Source organism: Homo sapiens, chromosome 2 (genome assembly GCF_000001405.40).
Source record: "Homo sapiens chromosome 2, GRCh38.p14 Primary Assembly".
Lineage (NCBI taxonomy): Eukaryota > Metazoa > Chordata > Mammalia > Primates > Hominidae > Homo > Homo sapiens.
Window position 1 is genome coordinate 168,768,166 of NC_000002.12, and position 18,283 is coordinate 168,786,448.

At 40.8% G+C, this 18,283-nt stretch overlaps 1 protein-coding gene and 1 long non-coding RNA gene across 6 annotated transcripts in view; one reads left to right on the forward strand and one right to left on the reverse strand.

Annotated features, from left to right (window-relative positions):
• Positions 1-6,969, forward strand: part of CERS6 (ceramide synthase 6) — a 318,863-nt gene extending 311,894 nt beyond the window's left edge. For all 4 annotated transcript variants that reach the window (NM_001256126.2, NM_203463.3, XM_005246440.6 and 1 more), the window contains one exon: positions 1,345-6,969. In NM_001256126.2, the coding sequence (NP_001243055.1) occupies positions 1,345-1,497 (153 nt within the window). In that variant the 3' untranslated portion in view covers positions 1,498-6,969. The remainder of the gene's footprint in view (positions 1-1,344) is intronic.
• Positions 3,786-18,264, reverse strand: CERS6-AS1 (CERS6 antisense RNA 1). 2 transcript variants are annotated; one of them, NR_045786.1, is made up of 4 exons: positions 18,192-18,264; positions 15,790-15,882; positions 6,656-6,786; positions 3,786-6,473 (listed from the first exon to the last, which is right to left on the reverse strand). It is a non-coding gene; the product is annotated as a CERS6 antisense RNA 1 (long non-coding RNA). The 2 variants fall into 2 exon arrangements; NR_045787.1 differs by lacking the exon at positions 15,790-15,882.
• Between the last annotated feature and the right edge of the window lie 19 nt (positions 18,265-18,283).

Sequence of the window (18,283 nt, forward strand, 5' to 3'; positions counted from 1 at the left end):
TTAGTGAGATTGAATGGAGGATTGAAGAGACTTGGCAGGATGGGAGCCAGTTTTTTTTGTTTTGTTTTGTTTTGTTTTTTTTTTTAAGACAGTTTCACTCATTGCTCTGGCTGGAGTGCAATGGCGCGATCTTGGCTCACCGCAACCTCCACTTCCTGGGCTCAAGCAATTCTCCTGCCTCAGCCTCCAGAGTAGCTGAGATTACAGACATGCGCCACCACACCCGGCTAATTTTTTTTTTTTTTTAAGTTGAGACTGGGCTTCTCCATGTTGGTCAGTCTGGCCTTGAACTCCTGACCTCAGGTGATCCACCCACCTCAGGCTCCCAAAGTGCTGGGATTATAGGCATGAGCCACCTCGCCTGGCTGGGAGCCAGTTCTTGATGATCTAGTCAGTGGATTTTCCTCAGGAAATATTTCAAGCTTCACCCCGCCCAGCAGGTTCTTAAGATGCCTCCTGGCCAGGCACGGTGTCTCACACCTGTAATCCCAACACTTCGGGAGGTCAAGGCAGGTGGATCACCTGAGGTCAGGAGTTCCAGACCAGCCTGGCCAACATAGTGAAACCCTGTCTCTACTAAAAATACAAAAATTAGCTGGGCATGGTGGCTCATGCCTGTAATCCTAGCTACTCGGGAGGCTAAGGCAGGAGAATTGCCTGAACCCAGGAGGCGGAGGTTGCAGTGAGTTGGATCGCACCAGTGCACTCCAGCCTGGGCAACAGAGCAAGACTCTGACTCAAAAAAAAAAAAAAAAAAGAAAAGAAAAAAAAAATGCTTCCTGCTGTCATTTGTTGTGTGACATACAGAACAAAATTCCTAATTAATTATAGCATACAAAAAATAGAAATGTAATCATAAAACAATGCATGAAAAAGCCAAATAGGAATTTTTTTTTTTCAGTGTTCTGAGTTAGTGACTATCTCCATTGCTATGGTTAATTGAGAGCTGATTTTAAATTATTCTCAAGGAGAATGTGATCATCAATGAGTAAATTGATCCATTTGTACCAAATTCCTATGACGCCATTCCAGTGACACAGTATGCTACTTTTTGATTACAAGTGGGATTCATGGTCTAGTATGTTCTCAATATGGAAAGATACCTTAAAGAAGTCAAGAAGTCTAGCCCTCCATGATACTTACATTCCTTCATAAATGACTTTGTCGCCTACATTTTATCTCTCCAATGAAGGGGAACTTATTGCTCTGGCAATGTTCTCATCCTCTTCAGTTTTTTAACATTGGGATCTGTTTCCCCTTGTGTATGACTGCATGTGCTTCTAGCATGCCATACCTTGATGATTTCTTAGGTGCTGGTTATACTCACCTGCTTCTACTCCACAGGTGTCCAAGGATGATCGAAGTGATATTGAGTCTAGCTCAGATGAGGAGGACTCAGAACCTCCGGGAAAGAATCCCCACACTGCGACAACCACCAATGGGACCAGTGGTACCAACGGGTATCTCCTGACTGGCTCCTGCTCCATGGATGATTAATTACTCAAAACTACAAGTCCCAAGCAAAGTGAACTATTTGTTCCTGGAAGTATTTAATAAGTTGCAAATGCAGTTCCTTTCATAATATCTCAGCACCAGAAACAAAAATTAAGATTATCAAAGCATTTTGAATAGTGCACTGCCATGTGTCCTGTCTGTGAATGAAGAAGAATTACCATTCTCTCTTTGTAGGCATGCTGTATGTAATTGACACAAGGGAACAGTATTTGCATTTGTACTGTCTTAGAATATTATTTATTTTTTTGTATTTGTAAATCTGTGGACAAAAGAGGGTTTCCTCACTCCTTTTACTCACTGGGCTCATGACAGTGAAGGAGATGCTCCATCTGCTTCTCCCCCTTTCTCTTGCTGTAGTCCAATGTGCTATGAGCATCAGCTTACTTTGTCACTTAGAGCAAGCAAAACCCAGTGCAAGAGTCTCGTTCAGCTCTAAATAGGTTTGCTTTCTTTTAGTTACAGTGCCCATTTTGAAATTGCCTATACAGTCTTAGTGACCATTTAAACCGGACGAACTAGGTGTTTAATTTTCACTCTTCATGTTCAATTAGCAGTTCAAATTAAAGAAGATGGTTATTGGAGAACTTTTTTGAATGGTTTTGTATTAAATTGCTTTGAAATAGATTTCATTTCTTGTGCACACAGCCAAGATTTCTTCAATGGGTGTGAGCTAGTTGAGGGTTAACCTTGTAGGTTGCAGAGTGTATTTGTTTGTTTGTTTGTTTTTCTCTGTGATGAGGTCAGTGCTCTGATTTTGAAGGAGGATATTCACTGAAGCTCATAGTTATAAACAAGGAAATCACTGTTAAGAATGGGAATTTGTCCTGTGTTCTGGGAATAACATAAAGAGAGCAACTGATTTCAGCCAGGTTTTGCCACTACCCTATAATTAGTGCAGTCTTATGTTATAAAAGAAAGAAGTTAACTATATTTGGGGACAAAAAAATATTTCAAGAGTTGATAAAGATTACCTGTGCAGTGCAGAGCACTTTAATGCAACCAGCTTTCAAGAAAAAGCCCTATCTAGTACTTGATGTTGATGTTTTTATTTTGCTGAGCAAAATAAAGCCAATGGGAGAAAGACTATTTTACCCTTTGCTTTTCTCCTTAAACGTAATCCAGATGACTTTCCTGTTACTAAACACTGAGCAGCATTACACTACAATGCTTCTTTGGTTTCCAGGAATTTTTTTCAAATGGGGCTGTTTCTGGAAAAATGAAAAATTCTATTGGACAATGGCAATATCAACAATGAGGAAAATTACTGAAGAATAAGTTTCCATAAGTCTCCTACATAGCAGTGTTATTTATGTACAGATAAGAAAACCATATGTCAGCCAAAGATTTTATCTCTTCTTCTAACTTTTAGTAAGAGGAAAAAGGGATTATAAAACCCTTCATAAATCAAGAAGGCCATCACTTAGAACGAACCCCAAACAAAAATGCCATAATATAAATGTGTGAATCAGGGCTGTGAAGACAACAGCAGAAATGCTAACAAGCGTGCAGAAACACCAGAGAGTGCGTATCCTGCTCAGAACCATTCACATTTAATTCAATTCTTGGAAAAAATTAAAGCTTTTTGCCCACAATTTGCAATCTGTGGGTTAATAGTTAAAAGAATGTTCCCAACCAAAAAATTCTTACCGTAATATTATATCTTGCCCTACTTATTTACAAAATAATATGTTTCTGTTATGGTCCTTAGTAATAATTGAAGAGGCTTAGAAATACATCTGCTTGTTTATTGAGAAAACGATGCAAATAATTCTGCTTTTAGAGCCTTGTTATTTTATTTCACAAAACAGGCATATGTCTAGGAGTGTAATTTGTGGATGGTTGAGTTTGTAAGAACAATCATAAAAGGACTTGTTAGTCTCCAGAACATCTGCTAAAATGCAAGTATATGTATAAGGTAATAGCATATTACAGCTGAAAATTTTGAGAAGGTAAAAGTTTCTTAATTAAAATATGAACATATTTAGCTTGCTTTAGTGTCTGGGGCAAGTCCTCTCAATGGCTAAAATTAACTTTAGAGATCCATGTGTTCAGGTTTAGATCATATGACACTCGAGCACAGAAGAATAATTTCAAGGAGGTCATCTTGTAAATTAAAGGTTTAGAAGAATTGCATAAAACGTAGTAAATGGGGTCTGTCATTAGCAAAGGCAAATCTAAGCAATCATTTTTCCCCCCAGAAGTTACTTAGAAGGAGAACTGGGAACACTTGGGGTCTCTCTAACTGATGGCATTCACTTCACACAGTCGTCTATGTTATCCAGAGATTTTTATTTCATTTTACATTTTAGGGCACAGTTCTTTGGGGCTAATTAAAATGGGGTTTGCAGGCTTTTTATGGTGAAGAATAATATATCTCTGTCTATAGCTTTCCCATGGTAGCCTGATAAGGCTGAGAGAGAAAAATATGTGCAGTATCTCATCCTCCCCCTGTACCAGGCCATAGCTTTGAAGTGTATTTTGTAAATTCAACTATAGGTTAGTCAGAATGCTGTTTTTCGTTAATTAACTTAGCCTGTGTTGATATCTCCTCCTTCCTGGTCACATTCAAACCTTCCCAGAGTACAAAGGGGTATGTAGAAAGGATTCCAGAAGAAGTAATACTTTATTCTCTAATGTTAATAGCTTTTCTGGATCTCTTAGTAGGGGGAAAGTAGAAAATCGAGTAGAATTTGGCCTCAGGTCAATAAATGATATAAAAACATGTGTTCTATTTATGTATATATATGTATGTTTCTCCAAAAAGTGATAAAACCAAAATATCACTGACTCATCCCTACCCATATTCTTTTCATAAAACCCACTCACCAGGTACAATAGAAACTTCCCTCCTTGTTTGTCAGCCTCCTGTTCATGTTCCCCACACACCTGAAGGTGGTAGAATCTTTTCAGCCTCTTAGCCAGTGAGCTAAATATGGCTAAGCACAGGTCATAAGAGCACCTAAGGCCAGCATATAAGCCAACTACAGTTCACCTTTCCAAATTTGGTCCTATGGATGTTGAGCATAGGGAAGCAACTCTCAGTATTTTGGATTATTCAAGTGTATGTGGTAAAAATGCAGATGATTGCTGCTTTACCCCAGGGTTTATTAGCATCCTACTTCTGCTGGGCTGCATCATTATATAATGCCACAGGCATCTAGTCAAGGTAAAGAAGCCAGAAAGGTTAGGCAAGAAGTGAGATAAAATCAGATCACCTTTGATCAAAATGGTTGGTGAACCTCCACATGTCCAGTTCTGTTGCCAAACTTTCCATTCAGAGTATTTGGTGGAGTTTGAATTTGAGCAAACTAAATGCCTTCATCTTAGGTAGAAAGGGCCTGAATCTTCCATTTTATATTCAAACCTCATTGTTATTTGGCCTAAGTAAAAAGTCAGATTTCATTTCCATTTACCTGAGTTCGCTTTAAAGAGCTTTTCAAAGAGAGCTTTATAGACACCCACAATTGTCCCCAATCTCTTCATGATGTTGCATTAATAGTTGTTTTTGTCCCTTTCTTGGAAATGTTAATGCCAAAGTTGCCTGAACATTGGGCGGTTTTCTTAATTTGAAGTATAAAAATTATAAAGAGTAATTCCAAAGGTATTAAAAGATTGTTTAACAGTATGTGTGGTGATGTCATTATCTCCAGAGAGGCTTCAAGAAATCCTTTGGAAATAAAAAGTTAAATGTTTACATTTCATGTGGTATTTCAGGTCTTCAGGTTCTGATTAGCTTACTTTTTTCCTTTGTCTTTGGCTGATTTCTGCTTTGTAGATAAATAATAATAGCCCTGAGATGTTTCTAACATTTAAATAAGAAAAAAATCAAATCGAAGTCAGCCTGCTGGAAAAGTGATCACATGGCAGTTGCAGTAACTTGTATGGAAAGAGAAAATGCAATGAGCCCAGTTACTGCACTTGCCACTACCATGCTGTCCATGGAAGGAATAATCAGCAGTTCAGTTGTCACAAGCCGCCCTTGAAGAAAACGCAGCAAAATATTTTAAAATGAAGATATTGCAGTCCCCAGAGCCAGTGAAGGTTTCTTTTGGTAAAATGAAATTGTGCCATTGTCAAAGTACCCCGTAGTGATGAGCACTGACTGGTTCACTGGCCACATTTTAGTTCTTCATAATAATAGGCCACAAAAGGGCTCTGTGGTTTGCCTCCATGTGCACTGGCCCCTCCCCACCCCTAGGGGGCACTCAGTAGCTGCTGAGAAGGCCTGTCCACGAGGCTGTTGGAACCCCTCCAATAAATACTTAGAGGTAGTGTATCTGATGCTTGTTTTCGTGGAGAAAATTGTATTGGAGAACTTAAAACATCACGAATATTTTTAATAGGATCCGCAGACACCCAAAGGAGAAGCTTGGTCTTTTCCAGGTATTTCCAACTTGAGTTCAACCCAAAGCCTTTGAAAGGAATGCATTACCACATGACCACATGCTGAGACCCCATGGGGTCTAACACGGGACCTAAGAAAGTCTCTGCAGCCAGATAGTACATGGTGTCTCCACAAAACTAGGCATTCTGGAGATTGCCCAGAAAGGGATGTGAGGGGACCGTTAAGATCTGTCTTGCTTATCTCATGCACTCACATTCCTTCAGCCTCCTGGAGTTCCTGATAAAAGGAAGCCAGGGTGTGGACATTTTTTAGCTATTGATTTCCCAATAGCTTGTGGATCAGTTGTACACCCACACTTCCTTCTCTGCCTAATTCCGTTTTTCTGGAAAAAGTAGTATGCCCATGTATGTGTGTTTTTCTTAACACAGGTCCATGAAAGTTTGGCTTCCTGGTTTGATGTCTGTTGCGTGGCCTGGAAACCAGGGAGCAGCAACTATTGAGATGGTTTCTGTGTTCAGTGAAAAATTCTATTTCATTGAGACAATTTTTTCTTTATCCACAGTAATTTTTTGACACTGTCATCATGAAACTACCCTTAGGAAAATAAGATTACCTGCAAAAAAAAAAAAGAAATGAGTTATGGAATAGGAACAGTTATGTGATGATTCTGAAACTTTAACTTAGAGCTTCATTACTTTAAGAATGGAAAACAACCTCTGAGTTTGATTTCCCAAAGTTTCATAAAGCCCCTAAGCTCATGATTTTCATCAACTCTTTGCCCACATAGTCATTTACCTCCACAGCCGTTTGTTGTCATAGAAGGGGTGGTGGTGTTTGGATTTGATTTTTTTCAACTTGCAGTGAGAAATAGGATAGGTGACAAAACCTTACTTGTTTTCTTAAGACAATTCAGTGCTTGAGCATCTCTGTCAGAAATGGAATGAAATACTGTTAGCCAATTAGAATTATTTTATGTATTGTTATTGTGTTTTGCTGATTTTTATATGAAAATATAATTATTCATTCTTGATCTCTGGAAGCAATCATTATTATGAGGATCATTTTACTTTGGAAACACTTTCATAATAAAGATAAGTATTAAGAGTGCAGTGTAAGTGCCCTTTACTGTAAATGCTAACCAGCTCGTGTGGGTAAAACATCACATCTCACCTGATGAGGTTAATAAAGGCTCACATCATCCCAGTAGATTGTTACAAGCCTCGTCAACTCCCAGTATCATTGTGATCATTGAGAAAGTAATGTTACGTTAACTTGGATAGACTGTAGTATCTCTTTGAAAATTAAGATTAAAACCTCAATGCTAAATTTTATGTAGCACTTTATTCTGGAAAACATGGTTTATAGAGATCATCTGAAATATATCAGGTTATGCTTATTTTTAAAAAAATTTTAAAAGAGGCACCTAGGATAAACACCCAAAGCACAACACAAAACTTCCCTTCTCTGTGTATGCACCCCTCATCGGAGTTTGGCCCACATCATCTTCTCTTGGTTTGTACCTCACTTTGCTAGAACTTCTCTCCATCTTTCTCTGTCTTTCCTGTGAAATACCTCTCTCAATCTGCTCTTCTGCTCTAAGCTTAGGTCTTCTAGTACTCAAAAGCCGTAAAAATAGCACTGAAATTCAACCAGACACCCCACCACTATCACAAGTATTATAAAAAATAAAGCAGATACCCTATTAAAATCTTATAAACATTATAACCACCCCCAACAATAGAATAACTCATGCTGATTTCAAGCATGAGTTATTCTAATAAGTTAAACCACCAACATTCCTCTGAGACACAAAAATACAGACTATGAAAAAATATACTTTTTTGGAATCCATGAATTCTTCAGTTCTACAAAACATAGCATAATCTAATGCTATAAGCATCTGTCTTAGTCTGCTTTCTGCTGCTGTAACAGAATACCACACACTGGGTAATTTATAAAGAATGGAAGTTTATTGGGCTCATGGTTCTGGAGGCTGGGAAGTCCAAGAGCATGGTGCTGGAAACTGGTGAAGGTCATCACATGGCAGAAGGTGCCACATGGGAGAGCAAGCATGCTAGACAGAGGAAACTGAGCCAAACTCATCCTTTCATCACTCCTGAAATAAAAGCATTAATTCATGCATAAGGACAAGGTCCTACCTTAAAACTTGAGTTTTGGAGAGGACATTCGAACTATAGCAGTATCTCTCCCAAGTAGCCAAAATGCAACTCCCTTTTCTCTAGGCCCCATTGCTTACTACTGGGGCTGCCATATCCAACCTAAGCATCTGTTATTCCTGCCTCCTAATTCTGTTTCCACCAGCCGTGCTCTTGCTTCAGTGGGAACAGTGGCAACAATGCTAACAACATTGAGAGATGATAGGACAACAAAGGGGGAGAGCTGTGTACCAAGAACTACTGGGATGCTGGGTGGTCCCTCAGAACCAATTAGCACAGTAACTGGATCCTGGGACCCACACCCTTAATTATTCTCAAAGTGCTGGAGCACAAAGAAACAAAAGTTATATTATTCCTAAACATTAAAATTTTAAATTTTTTAATTAAAAAAAAAATTAAGGACAGGGTTTCTCTCAGTTGCCCAGGCTGGAGTGCAGTGTTGCGATCATAGCTTGCTACAGCCACAAACTCCTGGGCGCAAGCAATCCCCCCAAGCTCAGCCTCCCAAGTCGCTGGGACTAGAGGCACACACCACCAAACCCAGTTAATTTTTTAAATTTTTCATAGTGGTGAAGTCTTGCTGTGTTGCCCAGGCTGATCTCAAACTCCTGACCTCAAGCAATCCTCTCACCTTGGCCTTGATGTGCTGGGATTACAGGCATGAGCTACTGCACCCAGCCTGAAATTTAAAAATTATATAAAGTCTGCCTTAGCCAAGGTCCAGGTGGGAAACAGTCACTGTCAGATGGTTAAGTTGAAGAAACTTTAATAAAAGGATGACTTTACAGAGGCATGGGCTGGATTACATCAAACAAGGGAGAGTGAGGCACCCAGAGGCTAACAAGTATGGGAAGCCTTTACCACCCCTGGGTTGTAACCAGAGGCCAGTGAGAGGGGCTAGTATGGAAGAGAGGCCACTCTTTGGGGGCTACAAACCTGGATGGAAAGAAAATACCCCAATGTCTCTCTCTTCCTGCCTTGTTATACCACGCATTGGCTGGACTCAGCAGAAAGCTGACAGTGCGGAGCCTGGGGGACGTAGGCTACAGGGTTCAGCCTCCCATGGTGCACAGCAACAATAGATGCGGGAGAGCAAACCAAATAAGCAGCATAAAGCCAGTATTCCTAGAGCCTCCCATAGAGTCTGGCATGTAATAGGACACAAGAAATGTTTGTCGAAGAAACAAATGAACCCAGTTACGAGAGAACTAGTAAGATGGGAGCTGTTAGCAATTAACATTCCATCTATTAGGAAACAAGCAGGAGACAGTACTTTGTCTCCAACTCTTTCTGAACTCAGGATTTCCCTGTGTGGGTTCCGCTTCTCTCACTGGTGCCTCAGGCACAGAAGCTGAGGGGCTTTATGGCAGGCTTGGATAAGGGGATTTGACACCAGCATCCCAAGTCCAGGCATCACGGGAGGGAGATGCAGGACTGAGACTAGAGAAGTGGCTAGAAACAAGCTAAGAGGAACTGAAGAGAGAGGACATGAAGAACTAGAGAATGAATGAAACAGTTGTGAAACAAGGCAAGAAGGTCTATGCTCCAGCATTCATGACTAAGTTTTGAAGCACATCTTCAGGTAAGAAGTTTATTTTTTTTTAACTTACTGAATAATATAAAATATCTGCAGAGCCAAAAATAAACAGCAAAGGCTCAGTTCCCTGGCTGCGTAATTCAATCACTCAAAAATACTTATAGAGAGCCCACTAGGTGCCAGGAATTATTGTAGACACTAAGGACAGAATGATAAATAAGACAGATAAGTTCCTACTTCTATGGAACTTACAATAAAGGGAAGCAAAAAACAAATAAACAAGGAGCTGCACATCATATATCATCAGGGAAATGCAAATTAAAACATCAATGGGATACTACTACAAATGTCACAGAGTGGCCAAATTCCAGAACACTAACAACACCAAATGTTAACAAGCATGTAGGGGAACTCTGTTGATTGCTGGTGGAAATGCAAATGGTTCACACACTTTAGAAGACAGTTTGGCAGTTTCTTGTAAAATTAAACATACTCTTCCCGTATGATCCAGCAATCATACTCCTTGGAGTTTACCTGAAGGAGTTGAAAATTTATGTCTGCACAAAAACCCATACATGGATGAAATTTATACATACATAGCAGCTTTATTCATAGTTGCCAAAACGTGGAAGCAACCAAGTTGTCCTTCGGTAGGTGAATGGATAAGCAAACTGTGGTACATCCAGATAATGGGATATTATTCAGTACCAAAAAGAAATGAGCTATCAAGCCACAGAAAATATATGGGGAAACTTAAATACATGTTACCTAGTGAAACAGCCAATCTGAAAAGGTTATGTACTATATGATTCCAACTATATGACATTCTGGAAAAGACAAAACTGTGGAGACAGTGAAAAGATCAGTGGTGGCCAAGGGTTGCAGGCGAGAGAGGGATGAATAAACAGAATAGATTTTTAGGGCCAGGAAACTACTATATATGATACTTTAATAGTGGATACATGTCATTATACATTTGTCCAAACCCATAAAATGTACACCACCAAGAGTGAACCCTCATGTAAACTGTGGACTCTGGATGATAATTATGTGTCAATGGAGGATCATCAGTTATAACAAATGTACCGCTAGTGGGTGATGTTGATAATGGGGGAGGCTATGCAAGTGTGGGGGCACGAGGGTTATGGGAAATTTCTGTACCTTCCTCTCAATTTTGCAGTGAACCTAAAACTGCTCTAAAATAATAAAGTCTATTTTAAAAAATAAACAAGGAATATTAGTTTGCTAGGGCTGCCATTACAAAATACCACAGACTGGGTGGCTCAGAACCATGAGAAAATAAATTCAAGAACAAAGTGTATCTTCTCACAGTTCTGGAGGCTAGAAGTCCAAGATCAAGGTGCTGTCAGGATTGATGTCTCCTGAGGCCTCTCTTCCTGGCTTACAGATGGCTCCTTCTTACTTTGTCTTTCCTCTGTATATGTCTGTATCCTAATCTCTTCTTCTGAGGAATCTAGTCATACTGGATTGGGGCCCAGCCATATGACCTCATTTTACCTTAATCACCTCTTTAAAAGCCCTACATCCAAATATTGTCACCTCCTGAAGCAATAGAGGTTAAGGTTTCAACAAGAATTTGGAGGAAGACACAATTCAGCCCTTAAAACAAGGCAATTTCACATAGTGACAAAGTGATATGGTACGGCTGAGCTCCCCACTAAACCCCACCCTTAAGCCTGGAACCTCGGCCCTAAGTAAAAACAGCTGACCCCATTTTTCCGCCCAAATGTTGTTTTTTTCGCCTGCCATGCCCTTATCCTGTGCCCATAAAAGGACTCAGCTGGCAGAGCAACACAAGCAGCTGAGCGTTGAGGATACAAGCTGCTGAGTGTCGGGGATACAGGTGGCTGAGTGGTAAGCAGAGAAGCAGCAACAAGAGTGTTGGAGACTACAGATAGATGCGACTAACTTCAGACGGTGCAGCTTCAAGGAAAGATCACCTTCTTTCTGCACCATCCCCTTTCCAACTCCCCATCCCACTGAGAGCCACTTTTATCGACCAATAAAATCCTCTGCGCATACACCGCCCTTCAATCCATTTATATGACCTGATTCTGCCTGGATGCCGGACAAGAACCAGGGTGCCAAGAGGACAGGGACTCGGATGCCACTGCAGGGCCCACACAAAGCCTGTTTTTGCCAGAGAGGAGCAACCAGCTAGTTCCAGCATTCAGCAGGCTGAGTGAAACAAGCCACGCCAGTTCCTGCCCAAAAAGGGGGTCAATGTCAAGGGAACAATCCCATCTCAAAAGGACAAAAGTAATGAAGAAATAAGGGGATTTCATGGTGATTGCCAGGGCTCTTCAGATTGGGTGGTTAAAGGCACCTTATGGACAGGTGATCTGAGCTAAGACCTTACTGACAGGAGCAGCCAGTGGGGAAATCTTGCATAGGAGCAATCCAGACAGAGGCAGTGGGAACCTGAAAGAGAAAGGCTGCAAGGTGGGACTATGCTTCTAAATTCAAGGAATAACAAGAAGGCCAGTGTGGATGAAGCATAATGAACAAAAGGAAGGCGCAGGCCATAAGACTGAAAAGTTAGCAAGGGACAGATCATATAGGGCCCATATCCTATTCCCGTGGTAAGGAGGGCAAGTTTTAGGCTAAGAGTAGTGGGAAACATTTCAGGGATTTGAGAAGGGAGTAGCGTAATCTTATTGGTTGTCATCTTTAATAAGAGAAAGGACATGAGCTAAACAATGGAACAAATACAAATTTGTATGTATAACTGGAAAAAGCCTTCTCAAACTCCTAGTGTGTCAGTAGTGTCTGCATTGCGCGACAAGGCAGGAAGATGGGCACATGGCCATGGGAGGATATAAAGGATTACATATTACTGAAGATTTAACCCCCAAGCAAGAAAGTCAAAGTCCTGATGGAGAATGAGAGGTGGAAGGTTTTGCTGTAAGTATGCTGAGATCTGGGACAGGAAATGCCTCCAGGTCACTTCAAGGAAAGCAACTTGAAAAAAATATGAGAAACTGGCAATCATCAGCCAGAGGAGATCCTTAGGTAGGAAGGCAAACTTCCTGACTAAAGGCAGTTCTTTTCCATTGTTTTGTTAACAACTTTCTGTATGTAGTTCAAAGGCACCTAGTGGACTGTGGATTGATGGATGAGACCAATTTCCGTAGCACCTCTCTGGAGCAGGAGAGAAGCCAAAAATGACAACTCACTGTTTGTAGATTTCACAACTGCTAGTTGTGACCCTGCCTAGCTTAGCATCACATCACTACCCAGGGAGGTGAGATAGAGAAGAGAATCAACCTTGTTTTCCTACTGTGTGTCAGGCATAATGCTGGGTGCAAAACTGCCTCAGTCAAGCCACTTATCCCCTGAAATGTAGATACATTTTATTCTTGTTATTCATGATAGTTACGTTCCAAAAAGTCACTGGAAGCGCTGAATTGGCCAATGCTGGATCATTACTCCTAGGAGAAATACAGGGTTAGGTTTCCGGGACCCTCTGGTCACATTTCATCAACTGATTAATACGTAACCTTGCTTTATGTGTATTTGTTTAAAGACTTCCTATTTAATCTCTATTATTAGTTAACTACCATTGAACTCATAGCCAACTGCACTATAACTCATTCCTGAATGAAGCTTATCAACACATGCATTCTTGTAACTGCCCAGTGGGTTCTCCTTGCCAGCTGCCCAGATACAGCTGATTTATCAAGATAAAGGAATTGCAATTGAGAAAGAGTTTAATTCACACAGAGTTGGCTGAATGGAAGACTGGAGTATTATTATGCAAATCAGTCTTCCTGAAAATTCAGAGGCTAGGGTTTTTTCAAGAATAATTTGGTGGGCCAGAGAGTGGGTGCTGCTGATGGGTTTGTGATGCAATCATAGAGGTGTGGAAAATGGTCCTTGTGAGTGCTCAATTCACTTCTGGGTAGGGACACCACCTGGGTGGGGCCACAGGCAGGTTCAGGTGGAGACATTGGTCATCAGAAATGCAAAAACCTGAAAAGACATCACAAAAGGCCAATCTTAGGTTCTATAAGACAGATGTTATCTGCAAGAGTAATTGGGGAAGTTGCAAATCTTCTGGAGGTTACTCCAGAATAATGGTTTATAATCCTTTATGTCTACACCTTAGCAGAATTTAGGCTCCTCTCATTCTCCTAACCTGGTGGTCTTTCATTAGCTTTACAAAGGGTGGTTTAGTTTTGGGGAATGGCTATTATTTAAACTATAAACTAAATGTTCCCAAGGTTAGCTTGTCCCAAGCCCAAGGAATGATTTAGGGCAGTTTGGAGGTTAAAAGCAAGATGAGGGTTAGTTAGATCAGATTTCTTTCACTGTTGTAATTTTCTCACTGTTATTTTGCAAAGGTGGTTTCATTTTCTCCATAAGGCATATCACAGCTTTCTTACAATTAAGCACCCTAGACAGCACTTTAGCACTACACGTGGGCGCCACTTTAAACAGCAAAATCACCAACAAAACGCACAAAGATGCAAAAGTTGTGTCACTAGACAGACTACAAAAAGGAAATTATTTGTTTACAGCATGAGTTGAATGAAGAAGGCAGAATGGCGCCTTGTTCAGCCGCAGCTGAGAATGTGTGCATCGAGTGACTCAAAATTTTCACCATAGATGACTATAAAAGCTGCATGTATTCATCAGGGTTCTCCAGAGAAGCAGAACTGTTACAGTATGTAGCTAGTCAGTCATGAGCAGGGCAGAAGAGGGCCACCCCTGAACCAGGAATGTCAGGCGACTATCAGGTGATAGTCAGGTGGTTGTTACACTGTTTCTCTAAAATAATAATTGGTCAACATGGTGTCAAGGAAAGGCAGTCTCCCAACAGATAGAAAAAAACCTGAAACTGGTTATCAGCAGCTTCCCAATAAGATCTCAGGAGTTGGGTGAGTGGGCTCAAGCATGCTTATTAAGAGGCAAAATTGTGAAGTTTAACTGTTAAATGTCCTTCTAGGAGCATTCAACTGGTAAGGGAAGAAGGCCTCAAGTGAGCATGCATACAACTCCAATAAACACACTGCAAGTGCAGCCCCACCCAAGTGCTAGCAGGCACTACGCATGCAGACAGCCCACCTCAAGGGAAGAATCGGGAGAAGGGATGCAAGACCTCGGAAGTATGCCAACATACAAAACCCCAAGTCAAAGGTCAGACCAGGCACTTGATCTCTCAAGTTGCCCGCTTGGCCATCTTCCAAGTAACTTTCATTCTTGCGCTAAAACTTTTAAATAAACTTCACTCCTGCTCTAAAAAACTTGCCTTGGTCTTTCATTCTGCCTTATGCCCCCGCAGTCAAATTCTTTCTTCTGAGAAGGCAAGAATTGAGGGTGCTGCAGGCCTGTACAGATTTGCCGACAGTAACAGAACCAATAAAATACGTGTGTGTGTGTGTGTGTGTGTGTGTGTGTGTGTGTGTGTGCAGAGAGAAGGAGAGAAAGGGAGGGAAGGAGAGAGAGATTTATTATGGGGATTGGTTCACACCAAGATGATGGAGGCCGAGAAGTCCCAAGATCTTCGGTTACAAACTGTAAAACCAGGAGAGTTGATGGTACAGTTCCAGTCTAAGTCCAAAGACCTGAGAGGTAGGAGAGCTGTTGGTGTACTTTCCAGTCCCAGTTTGGTTCTAAGGGCAGGAGAAGACCAATGTCCCAGCTCAAAGACAGTCAAGTAGAGAGAGACCAAATTCTTCCTTTCTCAGACTTTCTTGTTCAATTCAAGCCTTTAAGAATTAAATGAGGCCCACTCACACTGGGAAGGACAATCTACTTTACTCAGCCTACAGATTCAAATGTTAATCTCATTCAAAGACATCTTCACAGATACACCAAGAATATAGCTTAACTAAAGCACCCTGTATGTAACCTAAGCACCCTGTAGCCTAAGCACCCTGTAGCCCAGTTAAAATTGACACATAAAATTAACCATCACAGGCTTTGAGTATTGATTCTTGGTTTGCAAATAAATTTTAGAGAGTAGGTGAATTCACAAATATGGAATCCAGCAATCATAAGGATCAAGAGTATCATCATTCATCAGTGGTGTGATGGAAGCAGCTCATACCAGCTTGCATGGGCTGATTGTTATATTTTCTGAAATTTTGCAAGCTGATCATTAAACAGCCATTTTAAAAAATTAAATAAACTTACAAATTAAAATTATATTTTAAAATATAGGTAATATGACCAGGCACAGTGGCTCTCACCTGTAATCCCAGCACTTTGGGAGGCCGAGGCAGAAGGATTGCTTAAGCCCAGGGGTTGGAGACTAGCCTGTACAACATGGTGAAACCCTGTCTCTATCAAAAAAAAAAAAAAAAAAAAATTAGCTAGTCATGGTGGCACACACCTGTAGTCCTAGTTACTTGGGAGGCTGAGATGGGAGGATTGCTTGAGCCTGGGAGGTCAAGGCTGCAGTGAGGTGTGATTACACCACTGCACTCCAGCTTGGGCACAGAGCGAGACCCTGTCTCAAAAAAATACATATTTACAGGTAATAAATACCCAAAAACATCAACTTTAATGATTTCCCTACATTCAACTATCTATGCTCTTGAAGTTATTTACATCTATTGTATTTGTATGAGGGATACAAGTGTGTATTTGTATGTGCTGTTGTGCATTTCTTCACAAATCTGTGTTCAGGGACATTACTTTCCTAGACCATGTATTTAATAACTGTATAATTAGCAACAAAAGCTGCAAATTAGGGCTTTCTTATTTATTTATTTATTCATTTATGATGAGCCAGTTGGCAAACACTCCCCAGCACAGTAAAGATTTGACCCCAGACCGGAGTGATTCCAAAACTTACACGTACTCATTCTGGTTCATTACACAGATTCCAGTGTTTGCATTTGTTTCTGAAGATGTGGGCTGCCAAGATTTCTACTGCATTTCAAATTCTCCATTGGCTTTTTTTTTTAATCTACCTCCGTTAATTTTTCTTACAGATCTAGTTTTTCCTCCTGTAGTTTTCATCTCTATCTTCCCTCTTTTTGGCGTCATATTGTATAGTCCTTTCAACTATATTGGAAGCTTTTCTTGGGGAAGACCCCCAATAAATCAAATACATCAATAACTGAACTCAATTTTTCAAGTTCACTGTATCAGTCTAATTCACAAAGGGCACATCTCCTTCCTCAGTCTAACCCTGGGAACTTGCAAGGGCAAACATAACCCAGAACACAGGTTCAAAAAGAACCAGTACAAGCAATTCAGTCATTCAATACATTGCAGACTGAAGAATGGAAGCGATCTAGGTAGTAACGCTAGTTTTTTAGGGATCTGGGTTTTAAGAATGGGCTGAAAGACTCATAGGGAAAAAGTCCCAGGGGTGGGTAGTAGGTGAGGGATGAAATGCTACAAAGCGAGTTTATTTTCTGTAACTTGAGTTATAGGAAATAAAAGAGCAGTTCCCAGCCCTCCTCTTTTTGAGTCATAGCTGTTAATTTGATTCATCAGGACTGAACTCTTGGCTCTGGCCAAAGTTCCTGACCCAGAGTGCTAGTTACTGTCTGGCAAGCCATCAAGCAATCCTATGTTAGATTTCAGACTAATTGGAGCTATGTCACCAAAGATGAGTTCAAAAGGGTCCCTAGAGTTTTTAAGAGCAAAGAGTATTGTTTTTCTCTCAGCTGAGGGTACTAGATGGTACATAGAACTGAGCCCTGATGTACTACACTTCTAGTGCTGCCATTTCTTAGTTGTATCACTTAGAAGTCATTTCTGAGGAGTTATAAAATAGTTTGCACTATGCTAACCAGTAGTTTACACTATGCTACATGTACCAAATTGTTTACCCACAGAGCCAGAACACTAATGAAAGCAGTAAAATGCACATCAACATTAAGTCAATAAATGTATTGAGCACCAATCGTTCGAGACATTATGTTAGGCTTTGTGAGGAGTATGAGGAAGTCAGGGGCAAAGCTGCTGCATTGAAGGGGGTCTCAATACAGTTAGGGAGGTAGGCCACAGGCAGAAGTTATTAGCTCTAAAGATTTTTTTTTTTTTTTAAGACAGAGTCTCACTCTGTTGCCCAGGCTGGAGTGCAGTGGCACGGGATCTCAGCTCACTGCAACCTCTGCCTCCCAGGTTCAAGTGATTCTCGTGCCTCAGCCTCCTGAGTAGCTGGAATTACAGGTGCATGCCACCACACCCAGCTAATTTTTTTGTATTTTTAGTAGAGATGGGGTTTCACCATATTGGCCAGGCTGGTCTTGAACTCCTGGCCTCAAGTGATCCACCTGCCTCGGCCTCCCAAAGTGCTAGGATTACAGGCATAAGCCACTGCACACGGCCAGCAAAAGGCTTTTAAAAATAAAAATAAAATCTATAGATATAAGACATTGGTATCATCGTTATATCAAATATGTTGTGAGAATAGTAATTGCCAGAAAAGTTCAGAGGAGAGAGAGGTTGTGTTATAGTAGTCAGGCAGACATCAGCAGGCCAGGAGAGGGCTGCACGCCCAACCAGGAATGTCAGACGACCATCAAGTGATGGTCAGGTGGTTGTTACACTGTTACAATCATTATTTCTCTAAAACAATAATTAGTCACAGCCAGCACGAGGGAAAGGCAATCTCCCGACAGACAGAAAAAACCTGAAACTGGTTATCAGCAGCGTCCCAATAAGATCTCAGGTGTTAGGTAAGTGGGCTCAAGCATGCGCACTATGAGGCAAAATGGGGGAGTT